The following is a 16,247-nucleotide window of genomic DNA, read 5'->3' on the forward strand; positions in this document are numbered from 1 at the left end:
AAGAAAATAATTGATTTCCCAGATTATAAAAATGTCTAGACTTTGTATTAAAAGCAAAAGACGGGATTTTTGAAAATGTAGGGTTTTTGTGAGTTTGTTTGTTAAGGATTTTTCTGAAACAGAGGAGGAAAAAATTACTTTGTGAGTTGGAAAGACAATGCTGTATCTTCAAAGCTTAAGACTTACTTTTAAGTGGTACTGTTCATATTGCAATTCACATTGCACACATGTTCCTCATGGTATATATTCAGTAGAATTTTTTTTTGCTTCCAAACCACATATTGGAAGTAAAACTCCTTGGATTCCATAGGTTGCATAGTTAAGTTATTGAAATATGAACACCCAGAAATAGTGGGCTTATAAATGTATATTGTACATTTTTCATATTAACCAAGAGATTTTTGAAGTTTAGTCTACTCTGCATATACTTTTAAGACCATAATAATCAGATATAGATATAAGTGCTTGAAGTGCAATTGTGAAAATCTATGGATTTCACCATCTTTAGAGGATGTACCACATACTTTTGTCCAGAAATAGATAGCATGGCCTAGAAGTATGAGTTATTCTCATCCTTTACCTCTGTGGGTTAAAAACCACAAAGTTGAAATATAGTCTGCAAGATATACTGAAAATATATGTGTGAAGCAGTGCTAAACTTAATTGATATGTTGAGACATATATAAAACATACAGCCACTAGACTGAGAAAATGAAAATTAGTGTATGAACATTTTAGTTAATGCTGTGCTTTGCATCAAAACCTGGTGTTTATTATTATGTGCTTTTAGTAGGAGACAGAAGCAGTATCAGTTGGAAAAACATTTCTTAGTGGATTGAGAACAGTATGCTTTCTAGTTCCTAAGTGGGAAACCTGGTTCTTTGGTTTCTTTGTTCCTGGTTAGGCTTATCCCCAGTTATTTCAGCTGAACATTTTACATACTAATGGAGTCCAGGGAAGTGTATTTGGCAGCTGTTCATGGGATAATAATGAAATACACTATTTAGTACTGTATGCTGCTGCTGTAAAGTGTGGGGGGTATTTTATAGAGAACTTGGTGAACAGAGCTATATCCGCTTTAATAGTGTGTGAACCTGAGTGAGGAAGTTGTATTTTCATATGAGAATAACTAGTACTCTTTTCTTACAGGTAAAGAAAACGTGCACAGAATCAGATGTTTCACAATCTCAGAATTCCAGGTACAGTAAAATAAAGACCAAGACTCCCCTAAGGAGAATTGCAGTTTCGGAGCACTAGTAAGATGTTATACCTGAGACACAATTGTGATTTGAAACATTGAGCTTCTTGAAGAACTTATCTTGATGGAAACTGTATATCATGCTGGCTAGCGTACCACTACTCATAATATTAGTCAAAGGGACTGTGATTGAAGTCAGTTTTAAGGAACAATAGTGGAAGTATCTCTAGAAATACGTGAAAAAAAATCCCTTGGCATTAAGTTAATGTTCATTTTTTTGTTCTAATTTCTTTTTATAATGTTTTGAATCTAAAATTGTGCCAGATACTGAATAACTGTCAAATCTGTGTTTACAAAAAAAAAAAAAAAACTATGATATTTCTTTTTCTTTGCAGTGAAACATTGCTAGATTTTGAGAATGTTGTCAAATTAGGAAACTCATAGTTAATTTGGCATTCTCGTTTGGGTTGTTTGGAGCCTGTGGAAATGATGAATTAAAGTGGTGAGGCCACTTCATATAGGAATTTAGCACCATTTAGTTGTTTGTGGTTGAACCAGATGCCCAACAGATTTTTTTAGACCTACACATTTTCATTGCTTTCATTTCAAAGTCCAGGCTGCAATTTTGAATGGATAAGTAAAAGTATCGTAAATACTATGACAATAATAAACACATGTTCTTACTATGCTATGAGTGATATGACTTAACCTATGTGTATTCAGTTGAGAGATGGGTCTCGTTTTATTTTGTCCTACTTGCTCCCGCATATAGTGCATGTAGTGATTTTCTTGGTACATGAAAACATTGCATATCTAGGTAAAATGTTAATGGCCAAGGCCAAGGTGGGTGGATCACCTGAGGTCAGGAGTTCAAGACCAGCCTGGCCAATATGGTGAAACCCCATCTCTACAAAAATACAAAAATTAGCCAGGCATGATGGATGGTGGGTGCCTGTAATCCCAGTTACTCGGGAGGGTGAGGTGGAAGAATCACTTGAACCTGGGAGGCGGAGGTTGCAGTGAGCCGAGATTGTGCCATTGCACTCCAGCCTGGGCGACAGAGCGAGACTCCATCTCAAAAAAAAAAAAAAAAAAAAAAAAAAAATGTAATGGCCATTATGTTTTTCTTTTTGTAGAGTAAGTGTATCTTATGTATAGTCCACTTATAGTTTGAGTAACTCTTGTTTTGTTGTATGCAGTATGATATTCCTATAATTGATTCCTGTGCATATTATATTAAAATGATTGCATATGGATTTTCCCTTTGGATCATGAAGAGCATATGATATGATATCAGATTTTTGATCTTTGATCTTTGTTCTGTGTAATTAGCTATCAAAATGGAACTAACTAATTTTAGATTATTGGAGCATTAGGAAATGGATGAACCACTAAATGTTTTCCTACAAAGCAGAGTAGTTCTAGGATGTGCGAACAGAAGGGAAGACTGGGGCTCTATTCCTTGGAGGCACCTCCTTCCTAAGTATTTGCAGACCTATATAAGTGACCTACCTATAACTTGCTTTTTAAGGATGATATATGTAATTAGATAATTTTTGCAAGCAGCTGGTCTTGGGAGTTAGGAAAAACAGAACAATATAATCATCCTTATTATTAATATTTCATATCAAAATTTTTTAGCTTTGAGGCTACTCAGGATTTTTGGGCAGATAATACTATGCTTAAGTAAATTTTAAACTAACAGAAAGCGATCAAACTGATTCATTGTTCATAGTTGGTATCAGTAAGTTGGAGAAGAAATAGAAAGAGTTCAGAGCTCAGTGTATTTAAACCTGGAATTAGGTCATTCTTTTTTATCTAGAAAATCCCAGCCCATGTGGCCTTAAAAATATAATTTTATTTTTAAGAAAAAAATAGTTTTTTTGAAGACTGCTTAAAATATATTTGTCATTTAATAATAACTGTCTCTCTAAATGGAAAAGTAGCCAGAGTTCCTGGAAATCAGCAGTTAGTTGCTGTGGATTAGCTGCTGCTTAAAGTTTCCTAATCTGTAATGTAAATGGGTAAAATCAGGCAAATCAATTTCTAAGAACTTCATAACTTTGTGATATCAAAAACAAGCAAACAAATACAATAATTTTTCTTAAAATGTGAGATGGAAAGACCTTCAAGAAGACCTAGAGTCATTTGTTGGTTCAAGTTTGCCCAGACGTTTTGATAATGACAGGTCTCCTCTCCTGACCTGTGGTACAATGGTCAATCTCCACACTCTGGTCAATATCTATCAATAACATAAAAATGTGACTGTTCTTGGATCCTGTATTTATTCCCCAATATTAGGCCTGAGAGTGCCAGAACTGGCACTTAATGTATTGATGGAACACCAAGGAGAGAATAAAAATATACCGAAGAGCACTCGACACAAAAAGGATACAAGAATTTACTGAATAGTGAACAAATTATATGCATGTACTGAGGTTCAGTTTTTCTAACCTGTCAAAAAACAAAAAAAATGACAACCAAACAAGAAAAATGTCTCTAATATAGACACTAAGCAGCATTATTTTAATACATACATATATGGGTACATTCTTTTTTGCTCATTAAGAACCACAGGGGCTGACGCAGTGGCTCACGCCTGTAATCCCAGCACTTTGGGAGGCCGAGGCGGGCAGATGATGAGGTCAGGAGATCGAGACCATCCTGGCTAACACAGTGAAACCCCGTCTCTACTAAAAAAACAAAAAATTAGCCAGGCGTGGTGGCAGGCGCCTGTAGTCCCAGCTACTTGGGAGGCTGAGGCAGGAGAATGGCGTGAACCTGGAAGGCGGAGCTTGCAGTGAGCCGAGATTGTGCCACTGCACTCCAGCCTGGGTGACAAAGCAAGACTCTGTCTCAAAAAAAAAAAAAAAAAACCCACAAAATATATATATTTTATACATATATATATATTTTTTCTCTCTCCTCTGTGTGTGTATGTATGCTCTCTCTGTGTGTGTGTGTGTGTGTGTGTGTGTGTGTGTGTGTGTGTGTGTGTGTGAGAGAGAGAGAGAGAGATTCAGATTGAGATTTAAAGCCCGGGGCTAGGTAGTTTTATTCTAAACAAATATCAAATAAAGAATTGAACTCAAAGTGAAATACTGTATCCGCATAAAATGTGAGCCAGAGAACTACTGCCTAAAAAATGCTGCCTCACTTGGAACCTAAAGCTAATATCATTCATTTATTTAGTTAGCTTTATAGTATGTTGGTTTTGGATTTGAAATGATTAGAATAAATGCAGATGGAAAGTGTTTTTACAGTAGGGAAATAATTAAATTGGGTGTGGAGACTTTGACAAGAGAATTCTTGAAGTGACATATGTGTATCAGCAAATTCTTTTTCTTGCTTGGCCTTAATTCTTTTGGGAAGAAATGCTTGGGCTGCAGATGTAATGGTATATTGGGAAAAAGAATTTACAAACCCATGCAGTATAAGTACGGCACCAAACTATCTTCTTTGAAATAGCATTACATGTATATAGTATAAGCCAGATGTCAGGAATAGTATTTTTTCCCTGTTTCCTAAAGCTACTAAACTTGATGTCATGTGGAAAGGGATGTGATGTGCTTTGTGTAAAATTTGACATTCCTTAAATGTTTTTCTTTTTTTGCTTTCCTCTGTGTTGCTAACCATGTCCAGGATGTACTATTGTTCCTAAACTAATGTTAACCATAAAATGAATTTATGAGAAAAACAAAATTAATATCCTTACCCTAAAATTAAGTTTGTTACTAGATAGACCATCTTAAAACATAAACTGAAATGATATTTTGCATTGATGTTTTTTTCTGTCTTCATGGTGAATTTATTTGTGTCAATTTGGGTCCCATTTGACTCATCACCGAAAATACATGGTTCTTGTTTAATGTAATAAATAGCTCCTGGACAAATGAATTTTACAGCAGAAGTTTCCATGAATCTTATTTTTTTAACTCCTCTACTTTCAGTCCTTTTTATTTCTGATAATGAGGTGAGGAAATAATTTATTTCATTCTTGTATTGCATACTTTACAAATATCTTAGGGTGTCTCTGTGTTAAAGTAGTCCCTATAACACACAAATGATTTCTCTGTTGAATTTCTATTTCTGTTTCTCTTTGCTTTTCCTCTCTTGGGCCACTGACTAGCATTTTCACCAAGAAGAGATCAAAGACATAGGAAGGAAATAAAACTCAAAATAGGAAATTTTTATTTTATACTCGTTTTGTTAACTAGAGAGTGAATAGAAATAGAAATTGTGGTGAAATTGGGCTGTGAAGTGACTTATCAGGAGTTAAGCCAGCTCTTGTCCTTTAGTAGCTTTGTTTCATCCTGGCCACAGTGTCACCAGTAGAATATAGTAAGGAGATCTAAGGAGAATCTTAAAATATAGGAAGAACTTGTGGTATGTATGAGCTAAGATGATAGTTTTTCCACATGGAGAATAACAAAAGATTCTGTGGATAGTGGGGAGGATTGACTCTTCTCCACTTCGTAAGTTAAAGAAATTGAGTTTGCTGAGAACTTAATGATTACCTGAAATTAGTAAAGGCCTTGGCCTGTGTCTTCTTGCCCTAGTCTTTACTAACTTTCCAATTATTAAGAGAAAGGCAAAATGACTTTCCGTTTTTTAAAGAAGCATTGGAATTAGTTTCAGTTTAATATGTAATATTTAAGTGAGCCTCAGGGAGTTTATCTATTCAATGTCTACATGCAACAGCTTAAAAAAATGAAATTCCTAACTCCTATTATGTAGACAGTTGTGATTTAATAATGTTTAATGTATTAAATTATACATAGTTATTTGCTAGTAAAATAATTATTGCAGTACTTCCGGAAGACTGAAATGTTTATCTGCATATAATTGCCTGTCTCAAAATTAAATGCTGTATTGTTTTCAAAGCAGGGAAAGCTGAGGGCTCCTTTGTGAAACATGCATAGCATTTCACTGTGTCAAATCAGAGGTCCATCTAGCCCAATATTCTGTCTCCAAGAAGTACCAAAAATCATTACTGCCAGTTTATGTTTTTCTCAAACCTGGAAGGTTGGAATATAGTTCTAAATACCTTAAATTCTCTCAATAACATGATCTGGTTGTACAGACCACAGAATTGGGTAACCATTTCTTGGACTTAATTATATTATCATATATTATCTTTTTGACTAATGAACCCAGGAAATTACTAATCACAATGCAAAGTAATAATTAATTCCTTTAATTATTAAAAAACACCTCTTTCAAATTATAAGGCATACTTCCCCTGAAAATGATAGATATTCTAATAGTTAAATATTCTAAGAGTGTGATTTAATTCTCATGTCATTTATTTAACCTGAGTCATATTATAGCTTAATCTTTTTCTTCCCAATTTGGAAAGTGTTTTGTCTTGTTTCAAAGTCTGGCCTCATGTGGATGCTTCTCTAGTCTTTTCATCATTTTTGGCTGGCATTTACTGGAGATTTTCAGAATTTGTTTTACCTTTTCTGGGGTGTGCTGACAGATTCCTGCAGATATGGATGCAGATGGGGCTGTGAATGAGGGTGAATGATGTCCTCTGTTTTGCTGTTAATTGTGTCTTTGATAGCTGACCTATCTTGATCCTTTGTTCATGGTGGCATCTGTGCTGATTTCCTCAGATAATTGTCTGTGGTGTTTGCCAAATCACTTATTTCAGTGATAATTGCAGCTTTAAAAAACAGTCTCGGCCGGGCACAGTGGCTCACCCTATAAACCCAGCACTTTGGGAGGCTGAGGCGGGTGGATCATCTGAGGTTGGGAGTTCGAGACCAGCCTGGCCAACATGGTGAGACCCCGTCTCTACTAAAAATACAAAAATTAGTAGGGCATAGTGGTGGGCACCTGTAATCCCAGCTACTTGGGAGGCTGAGGCACGAGAATCGCTTGAACCTGGGGGGCGGAGGTTGCAGTGAGCCGTAATCATGCCACTGCACTCCAGCCTGGGCAACAGAGTGAGACTCGGTCTCAAAAAAAAAAAAAAAGTCTCAAAACATAGACTATTGTTTCCTAAATGTCTTATCACATATGTGCCCAATCGACCCTTCCAGTAGCTCATTGGGAACTCCTGGTAACTTATCTTTATTGGCCAGTGTAGCTGAGTGTTATTTTTGTACACTTTTTGATTTCTTTCTGCACTTCCCCTGTAGAGTTCATCATTTTCTAAGATTAAATGAATGGGCAAATGAGAATAATATAGTACATGTCCCTTCTCATTGTTACTCAGAGAATAGTTGCTTATTATGTGTTTAAATTGAAGAAGACTCATCCTAAAACCCATTAAGGAAAAGGAATAGGCTACAACCAAAAGGAGGAAGGGCCTCACAGTGGCATTTCTTCATTCATACCGTGTTTATTTAACCTTTGCCTCACTGTCTTCAGCTCCCTAGGTTTTATTCTTGATGCTTTTGCTTTTCTTTCATTTCATACTTTTTCATGTATAATCTCTGTTTACAACTCTTGATGTGGCCCACAGTGCCTAGCATGCTCCGCCCACGTCCTTCTGCTTCTGCTCGGTGTGCATGAGCTGCTGCTTGTTAGGAGGTCTGCATTCACCACTGCTACTTGCCTCTCTCCACAGAGGCTGGGACTCTCCTTCCCTTTCAGTTTCTCCTTTCCCCTCCCACCTTTGCTTACCTACATCATTTCAAATCATCTTCCAGATGTTTTGCGCCCGTTGCAGCACTCTCCCCTTCTCTAATTAGAGACAACTTAATGGTTATTCATTTCACTAGTATAGAGACTTAGAGCTTGATTTCATAGGTCAGGCATCTACAAACTGTGATATGAAAGGAGAGATTGCTAGGGACAGACCTTTAAGTGGAGTGGCTGCCAAACTCCTGAAGAAGCTCAGTGCTTTAAGGAAGCCTTCCCTATCCAGCCAACTAGTCCAGCCCCACTGTCATAAGGCCACAGGGTACCATGTTCTTCTCCTTCAGAGATTCTGCATGTGGTAGATGCCTCCTCAGTTCACCAGACTATAAGCTCTACAAGGTTAGAGTTCATATCTGCCTTTGTTCACCATTGCCTCATTAGTATACAGCACAGGGCCTAGCACATAGCAGGTCCCCAGTACATATCTGTTAAATGAATGAATAACTTCCAAATACACAAATCTGGCTTGCAATTGCTCCTGGAATATCTCTTTTAACCACAAATCCCTAGTGTAATTTAGTTAGGGATTTCTCTCTGCCATCTCAGCTCCACTTGTGAAAAATTGTAATTACACTTCTTTCCCCAGGGTCTTTCCTTTCTAGTGATAAATAATTCTCTCAGTTGTCCTGTCTCAGAACTTTTAAGCAATCTTTGACTTCTTGCTCCCTTTCCTAATCCTGCTGGTCATCAAGTTGACATTCAGCTATAGCCCCCCCAATTTTCTATGAAACCATGTTTTTTGAATTTTCCTCTGCCGTGCTTTTTGAATCTCTTTATCCTGCCTCACCTCACTGCCACTATGAAAGTTCAGAATCTTGCCACCTCACCTCTGAATGAATGCAGTAGGTCTTCACATGGCTTACAGGGTCTAGACCCTGCCTTTCTGTTCTGCCAAGACTGTCAGAGAGCCTTTCTTAATGACACTTTCCATATGGTGTTGCCGTGTTGGTCAATTGATCAGGCAGTATTCAGTAGACAGAGTATATACAGAAGCATGAGCAAATAACCTTAAAAGTTTATATGTGCAGGAAGTAAAAATGTGAAAATATACTTTTTGTGCCTAATTACTGCCCACAAAAGGTCAGGGGTTTTCTGGGCTACCTGTTGTCCACTCTCCTAGTTCTCTTATTTTTATTTTTATTTTTTGAGACAGACTTTCGCTGTGTCACCCAGACTGGAGTGCGGTGGCAGAATCTCGGCTCACTGTATCCTCCACCTCCTAGGTTTGAGCGATTCTCCTGCCTCAGCCTCTTGAGTAGCTGGGACTACAGGCGCCCCCGCCACCACACCCGCCTACTTTTTGTATCTTTAGTTGAGGTGGGGTTTTGTCATCCTGGCCAGGCTGGTCTCAAACTCCTGACCTCAAGTCATCTGCCCGCCTTGGCCTCCTAAAGTGCTGGGATTACAGGCGTGAGCCACTGCACCTGGCCCTATTTCCCTTATTTTACTCTGTTAAATGTTGCTTGAGTCTCATTTTGTATTCTACCTATCGTTCCAAACTGACATAGCAGTGCATGGCTCTAACATTAGTCCCAAAACATTCTAGGAAAAAATATATACCAGTTACATAGGTAATGTTTTCCATCTCCCCTGCTGTCTCCATTTCCTACATGTATCATAGAGTAAAATCATGTATGTGTGAACTCTGTGGCCACCCAAGGGCATCTATTTTTAGGTAATACTTATCTGGTAAGTTCTACAGATGAAATCATTTCATTAGAGGGATAGAGGAGAATAAGAGCACCAGAGTGCAGTTTGAGCACTGGGGGTTAGTGTGGTTAGGAAGGGCTTCATAGAAGATTGGGGGGCTATAGCTGAATGTCAAAGAATAGATAAATTTTGAAGAAATGAAGGAAAGAGAACTCACAGTGAGGTACAAACAAACAAACAAACAAACCAAAAAACCCAGGAGCTGAAATTGAAAGGTATGGTTTTTGGATAGTCCCACTTGATCCATGTGAAGAAATAGTAGATGAGATTAGAAAGTTAGGGTAGGTTAGCACAGCTTGTGGCTGGTTTAGCTTGCTAGTTGTTTTAGTTAGGACTCTTATTGGTTGCAGCTACTGTTGTCAGCCAGTTGAAGCAGAAAAAGGAAGTTTTAGTATCTATTATTTTTTGGGTTTTGTTTTTGTTTTTTTTTTTTTTTTGAGATGGAGTTTCGCTCTTGTTGCCCAGGCTGGAGGGCTGGAGTGCAATGGCATGATCTTGGCTCACCACAACCTCCACCTCCCAGGTTCAAGCGATTCTCCTGCTTCAGCCTCCTGAGTAGCTGGGATTACAGGCATGCACCTAAGCAAAGGATTAATTTCTTAACTCGGGAAAAGAGGGCTTGCTGAATTTCAGAAGGTATGGGAGACACAGATTATCTCCCTGTTCATCTCTTATTCATCTCTGTCCCCTTTGCTTCACCGTTCTGTGTCTTTATCTCTCTGGCTGACCAGCTTTGTTTTTCTCCAGGCCACACAACAAGAGGAAAATGCCCATGTGACACTGCTCCTGATTTTATACATTTGACTTCTTTAGCCACCTAGATAATAGATTCCTCTCTTTTTCATTATCTCAGTTCCAGATTTCTAGGGACGGGAATGTTTTCAGAGAGTCAGGGTCACAAAACAGAAATGTGGCTTTCAGGAGCCACCTCTGGGAGCCTATGAATTGGGTTGTGAGGAGCTTTCAAGCAAAGGTTGAGGGTAGATAACCCACAAGTGCCCTCTACTTTCTACTCCTTCCCTTCCCAGGACATTTTTAACCTGCCAGTTTTATCCAGCACCTACCCCTCCCTCATCCTTCACTTTATAATCCAGCCTATATAAACTAGCATATATCAAGGAAATTGAAAATGCACTCCCCCCTTTCCTAATTAGAGACAACTCAATGGCTATTCATTTTACTACTATAGAGACTTAGAGCTTGATTTCATAGGTCAGGCATCTACAAACCGTGATCTGAAAGTAGAGATTGCTGGAGACAGACCTTTAAGTGGAGTGGCAGCGAAACTGCAAAGTAAGAGGAACTCAGTTCCCCTCTTTATGTAAACTCTTGTACCAATTTTTGGCCTCCCTATACCCATCCCCAAGCTGACCAGTTCCTATTCAAGGGACCCAGTCTTCTCTTCGGCTCTCAAATACCAATTCAAATGCAAATTGCTTTCTCCATTTCCTGTGTGTAGTTGTTAGATAATTGTCTGACTAATGCCCTCAATTTTGCCAAGATTAGTGTCTAGGTTTTAGCTCTTTAAAAAAAAAAACAATGTTCAAACATACCTGCAGAAAGACAGTCAGCAATCAATAACCTAGAGCCCAGATTTAAAACTTGGCAAGCTCTCTTACAGGTATTGAGAGCTCACCAATGGATTTCTGATCAGGTAATGATATAATTAAAATTGTACTGGTGATGACAGATCAACCGTGACTCAGGTGCTTGGAGGCAGGGAGACCAGCTATGAAACTTACATAAAAGGCTGGAGAGACACTTAGCAAATTGTGGTTATTTTGGGGCGGCATTACACACTATTTTTTTCATAGCTTAAACACATTTTCCAAATTTTCTACAGTGGATACTTATTTCTTTTGATTTAAGAACAAATACATGCATATAAAGCCTGAAATAATAGATTTGGCTTGAAATAGGCATGGTGGCAGGGGGAAGGATCTGGCCTCTTCTTTCTGACAGCTTGCATTGTTCTTTAGAGATGAGAAAATGCCTGTCTTCGCCACATGTATTAGTGATTAATTCCAGAAAATGGCTGTGTTCCTGGTCAGCCTCTCCTACAGTAAACTGAGCTCAGAAATCTTTGTGGTTAACAGTACAAAACTCGTTCTGGAGACTGTTAGCTGCTTGAGTTAATTTGGTCAGAGTAATTCCTCATGTAAAGCAGCATTTGTGCAGTGACTTCTATCCAGAAGACCTAAGGAGCTAGGACAAGACTCTGCTTTGCATCACAGGGGTAATTAGAATGTTGTCGATTGAGGGCAACAACCATCTCTGAGTATTCTCCAAGATTGCTTAGGGGTTATTAAGCATCTTAAATCCTTATTTTGCACTTAGAGCATCTGTAGTGCAGAAATTCTAGACTCAGTGTGAGTAGAAACATAGAAGCTTTTGTGGTCCACTTCATGCTTGGCCAACTCTAGATGGTAATAGAAAGGGGGATATAGTGGTTTTCCTCTCAGTAGTTCAATTAAATGCTTATTCTCCCCCTTAAAGGTACTATTTATTGAGCATCTACTATGGGTCAGGCACCAAATGCTTGAGATACGTCAGTAAACAAAACAAGAGCATACATGGTAAAGGAGTATGTTAGAAGGTAATACATAACCACCAATTAAATAAAATAGGGAGGATCAGGAACATTGCGGAGGGGAATGGTTGTGGTTTTAAATTGGGTGATATTTTAGCAAACTTGAAGGAAATGAATGAGTGAGCCAAGCAGAGAGCTGGTGGAAGTACACTCCCTTCAGTAAAAGCCTGCGTGGCATGTTCAGGTGACAGAAGAGGGAAGGACAGTGTGGCTAGAATAGAGTGAGCCCAGAGTTCAAAATTTGAAATAGCAATATTCTAGAAAAAGCTACTATTTCTAGTCTTTTCCACATTTTGGAAATATTTACTTGTAATTTCAATAAACCATTTTCAAATAAATGTCTTGGACTAATTGCCTCTTTTGTCACTGCTACAAGATGGGGCTGATCCCCAACCAGGAACACCTCTCTCTGCCACACCACACACATCTTCTAAGACTAGGGCTCTCTCCTGATCAGAAGGCTTCAAGATTCTTCACCAGTGGAACTCGAAGTCTTAAGGCTTTTTCTAAAGTAGTGTTCTTAAAGTTTCAGTCTTAAATATAGATGAGGGCTTAATAGAGATTCCAAAATTTTGATTTGTAAAGGTACAGAGATTCTGCTTATTATCTTACATTTAATCATCACATTTCAGTTGTCTTAGCAACCTACACAGTATTCTCATTTGGTTTTCAATAAGCCAATGGATGAATGGGTTCTTTGTTCACGTGTTTATGAATTTCTATCACCTGATACTTGAAGTCTTTCAGGCATGCTTACTGTGCCAAATAACTGTCTTTATATTCCTAAAATTCATGTAGCTAAAATTAAGCTCTACTTTTTCTAAATATTTACATTTCCAATGAGAGAATCTCCAACATAAGAATAGTTGGAAAAATGTATATATAAGCTTGTGTTTTTTTTTTTTTTTTTTTTTTTTTTTTTTTTTTGGTCATCGAATGATTTAATCCACTCTTAAAATTCTAGAAAAAGTTATATCAAACAAATACTTGTCTTGCTTGGGTAGTAAGAGCCAAATAATACAGGTATCTTTAGTTCAACAGCGGCACCTTTATAAGCTTGTATTTAAAAAATACTTTTGCTTTAGTTATAATTAATTTCCAAGGCTCCACAGACTTGATGGCAAACTCAATTGTCTAGCAAACCTCACCCATACAGACATATTTGAGAATTACAGAGAGAAAAAAAAAAGCCTATGACAAATCTAGGCTTCATAGAGGTATCTCTGAGATGTTGTCTCAGAATGTTTTGTCTTACTGAATGCACAGTTTTAAATTCTAAGTGAAGGAATATATCGAAAATGTTTAACAAAGTACCTGCCACTGTATTATGTGAATTTAAATGACTGCTCTTATTACAAGTAGGCATAGTGATAGTATTGACAAGTGACAGTCTAATGACAAAAAGACAAAAATAGCGAAGCATAAATGTAAGAATGCAAAATGCTTAGTCACATGAGATATTTTGGCATGAACACTGGAAGCCCAGTATGCTTTAGTAATCCCTGAGGACATTGATATGCCTTAGTACTGTGTGATGATTCTCACTAGTGTTGGTCACCCTGATTTTCTCAGTAAAAGTTAAATTACATTTAACATCATAACATTTTAGAATTATTTATATACAAAATGATCCCATTAAAATATTTTAGAATTATTTATTTACAAAATGATCCCATTTAAAATATGCTATTGCTTAAAATAACCACAGCTCAGCAACACACAATATTTGACTAAACCATAATGACCAAATTCCTTGAAGGTTCTGGATAGATGAGGTTATCTAGAATTATTCCTTTTTCATGCTAACATGAGCAACTCAAGCATCTGGATCACTTAGGGATTTTTTTTTTTTTTTCTCCAATCCAGGTCAGGTACCTAGCACAGTGTGTGGCACATAGTAGGAGTGCAATAAATATTTATAATAGGAATTGGTGAATGAATGAATGAGGAGCTAGTTTTTATATTTTGGGGAGAGAAGTGGCAAGTTCTTCAAGTCTTTACCTACACTAGTCGCACTACCGTATGCCATATAAGAAGGTTTAAATGTCATCTGTAAATAAGATCAAATCTAAGGAAGACCTCTAAGTTTGGGCTGTGGTGGCTCCCGCCTGTAATCCCAGCACTTTGGGAGGCCAAGGCAGGCAGATTATTTGAATTCAGGAGTTTGAGACCAGCCTGGCCAACATGGTGAAACCCCATCTCTACTAAAAATACAAAAAATTAGCCAGGCGTGGTGTTGCGTGCCTGTAGTCCCTGGTACTCAGCAGGCTGAGACAGAAGAATCGCTTGAACCCGAGAGGTGGAGGTTGCAGTGAGCCAAGATTGTGCCATTGCACTCCAGCCTGGGTGACAGAGCAAGACTTCGTCTAAAAAATTAAAATAAAATAAAAACCCTCTAAGTTTGCTCTAACAAGTAGAGTAACTCTGTATCCCAGCTTACCCCATGTAGAGTCCCAGTTTACACTTGGTATCTCAGCATCCCTTTTGGATAGAGAGTTTACTTTCAAGAAAGTCTTGTTTGCATGATGAATTTAATGGTTATTCTAATTAAAGTCATCACGTCCTTACCAAAGGTTTTTGAAATAAAAATGTAATAATCAAGAATTTCCCTTTTTCTGTCTCCCCCTTCTTTTCTCCCTTCCCCTTCTTTCCTATCTTAGGATGACTTTTACCATGGGCATTGCACTTTTATCTTTAATACAAGACAATATGTGAAAAAGCTCTTTGAAAGGAAAGATGACTTGGGAAATAATTGTTCCATTTTTTTAGGCTTGGCTTCCATAGGAAGCTCTTCTAATGCATTCTGTCATGTGATTAATTTGTCAAAATTCCATACCTGTCAGAAATAATGTAATCTTTTCAAGAACATAGACAGTCTTATTACATGAAGTGATGTAATCCTATACTATTTATCTCCTCTGTATTCCTCATTCTCTTATTTTCTATTATTCTTCAAATAGAAGAGCTAAAGTCCCAACTAATGGGGATGTTAGAGATCATGCTAGAGCCTGGGAAAAAATGATTAATGTGGTTTGGTGGGATGCCAAGACAGATGCGCCACACCCTGCTCGGTGCAACAGCTGTTGTAGTAAAGACTGAAGGCATTACATAGGAGCATCATGTGTGACATCGAACGGGAGACAAAATAGTTTACTGTGGCTGAGACACTGACATTTACATATTCTTAACCATTATGTTATGTGTGTGCTGTTGGGGTAGTTATTATCCTAGGTTTTTCTCATTATTTATAGGTGTTTGTTTTAAAGAGAAACAATGATGAAAACCATGGTATAGAGAAAAAATGAGGAGAGGGTGTGTTTGTGTGTGTGTCTGTGTGTATATGTGCATGCATGCAACATGACTGGAAGTGTGGATTACCCATTGGTATTTCTCCAAAGGGGATTTAGAAGGGTTAATTCTTTCTGCGCAGGGCTGACAGCACATGACACAACTATCCAACCATGCCTTCTTCCAGATCTCAGTAGCAGTTCCAGTCACAGTGAGAACCCCAAACTCCCTGCCGTGTTTTCACACTCTCCTGGCTACCCAAGAGATGCATGATTTTCATCAGAGGAAGATACTGTGTATCCTAAAAATTCACATCTCATGGACTTAAAAAGATCTGGAAAATGCAAGGCTTAGAAAATGTTAGTGAAGCAGACTTTTAATGGCCCAGAATGAATCACTCAACTTGGCTGGAAAAAGCATTCTCTTCTATAGCTTCTGACAATGAACCATGGCATGGCTGCCCAGATACTTAACATTGCAATGAGGGCATCCACATGACAGTATAGGCAGCAAAGCACAACCCCTCAATACCTTAGAAAAGCAACTCACAGTTGGTTTCCCAGTAACATCATTTGACTGTAGGTGCTGCTTAGAAAGAGTCAATAAGCTCCAGATCCTGAATTCAAAGCCTTTTCCTGACACTGGAAGAAGAGCAGTGTGAGGCTTCAAATTGTTTCCAAAACGCCTACATTTCCAGCATCTTTTCTCTTTCCATTCCATTTCCAATCAGCTGCATTCCATCTAGCAAATTCTTGATATTAGGGCATACAGATTTTTAGAAAATTGAATTTTATTTCATGGAAAGGTTAT

At 37.9% G+C, this 16,247-nt stretch overlaps 1 protein-coding gene across 30 annotated transcripts in view; it reads left to right on the plus strand.

Annotated features, from left to right (window-relative positions):
- The window catches only part of EYA4 (EYA transcriptional coactivator and phosphatase 4), a 291,536-nt gene that overhangs the window by 140,650 nt on the left and 134,639 nt on the right, over positions 1 to 16,247 (plus strand). For all 30 annotated transcript variants that reach the window (XR_001743219.3, XR_001743220.3, XR_007059221.1 and 27 more), the window contains one exon: positions 1,150 to 1,199. Coding sequence is in view for 27 of the 30 variants with exons in the window: in XM_017010368.3 (XP_016865857.1) it covers positions 1,150 to 1,199 (50 nt within the window). In the remaining 3 variants the exon portion in view is untranslated. The remainder of the gene's footprint in view (positions 1 to 1,149; positions 1,200 to 16,247) is intronic.

Source organism: Homo sapiens, chromosome 6, assembly GCF_000001405.40.
Source record: "Homo sapiens chromosome 6, GRCh38.p14 Primary Assembly".
In the NCBI taxonomy this organism is placed as follows: Eukaryota; Metazoa; Chordata; class Mammalia; order Primates; family Hominidae; genus Homo; species Homo sapiens.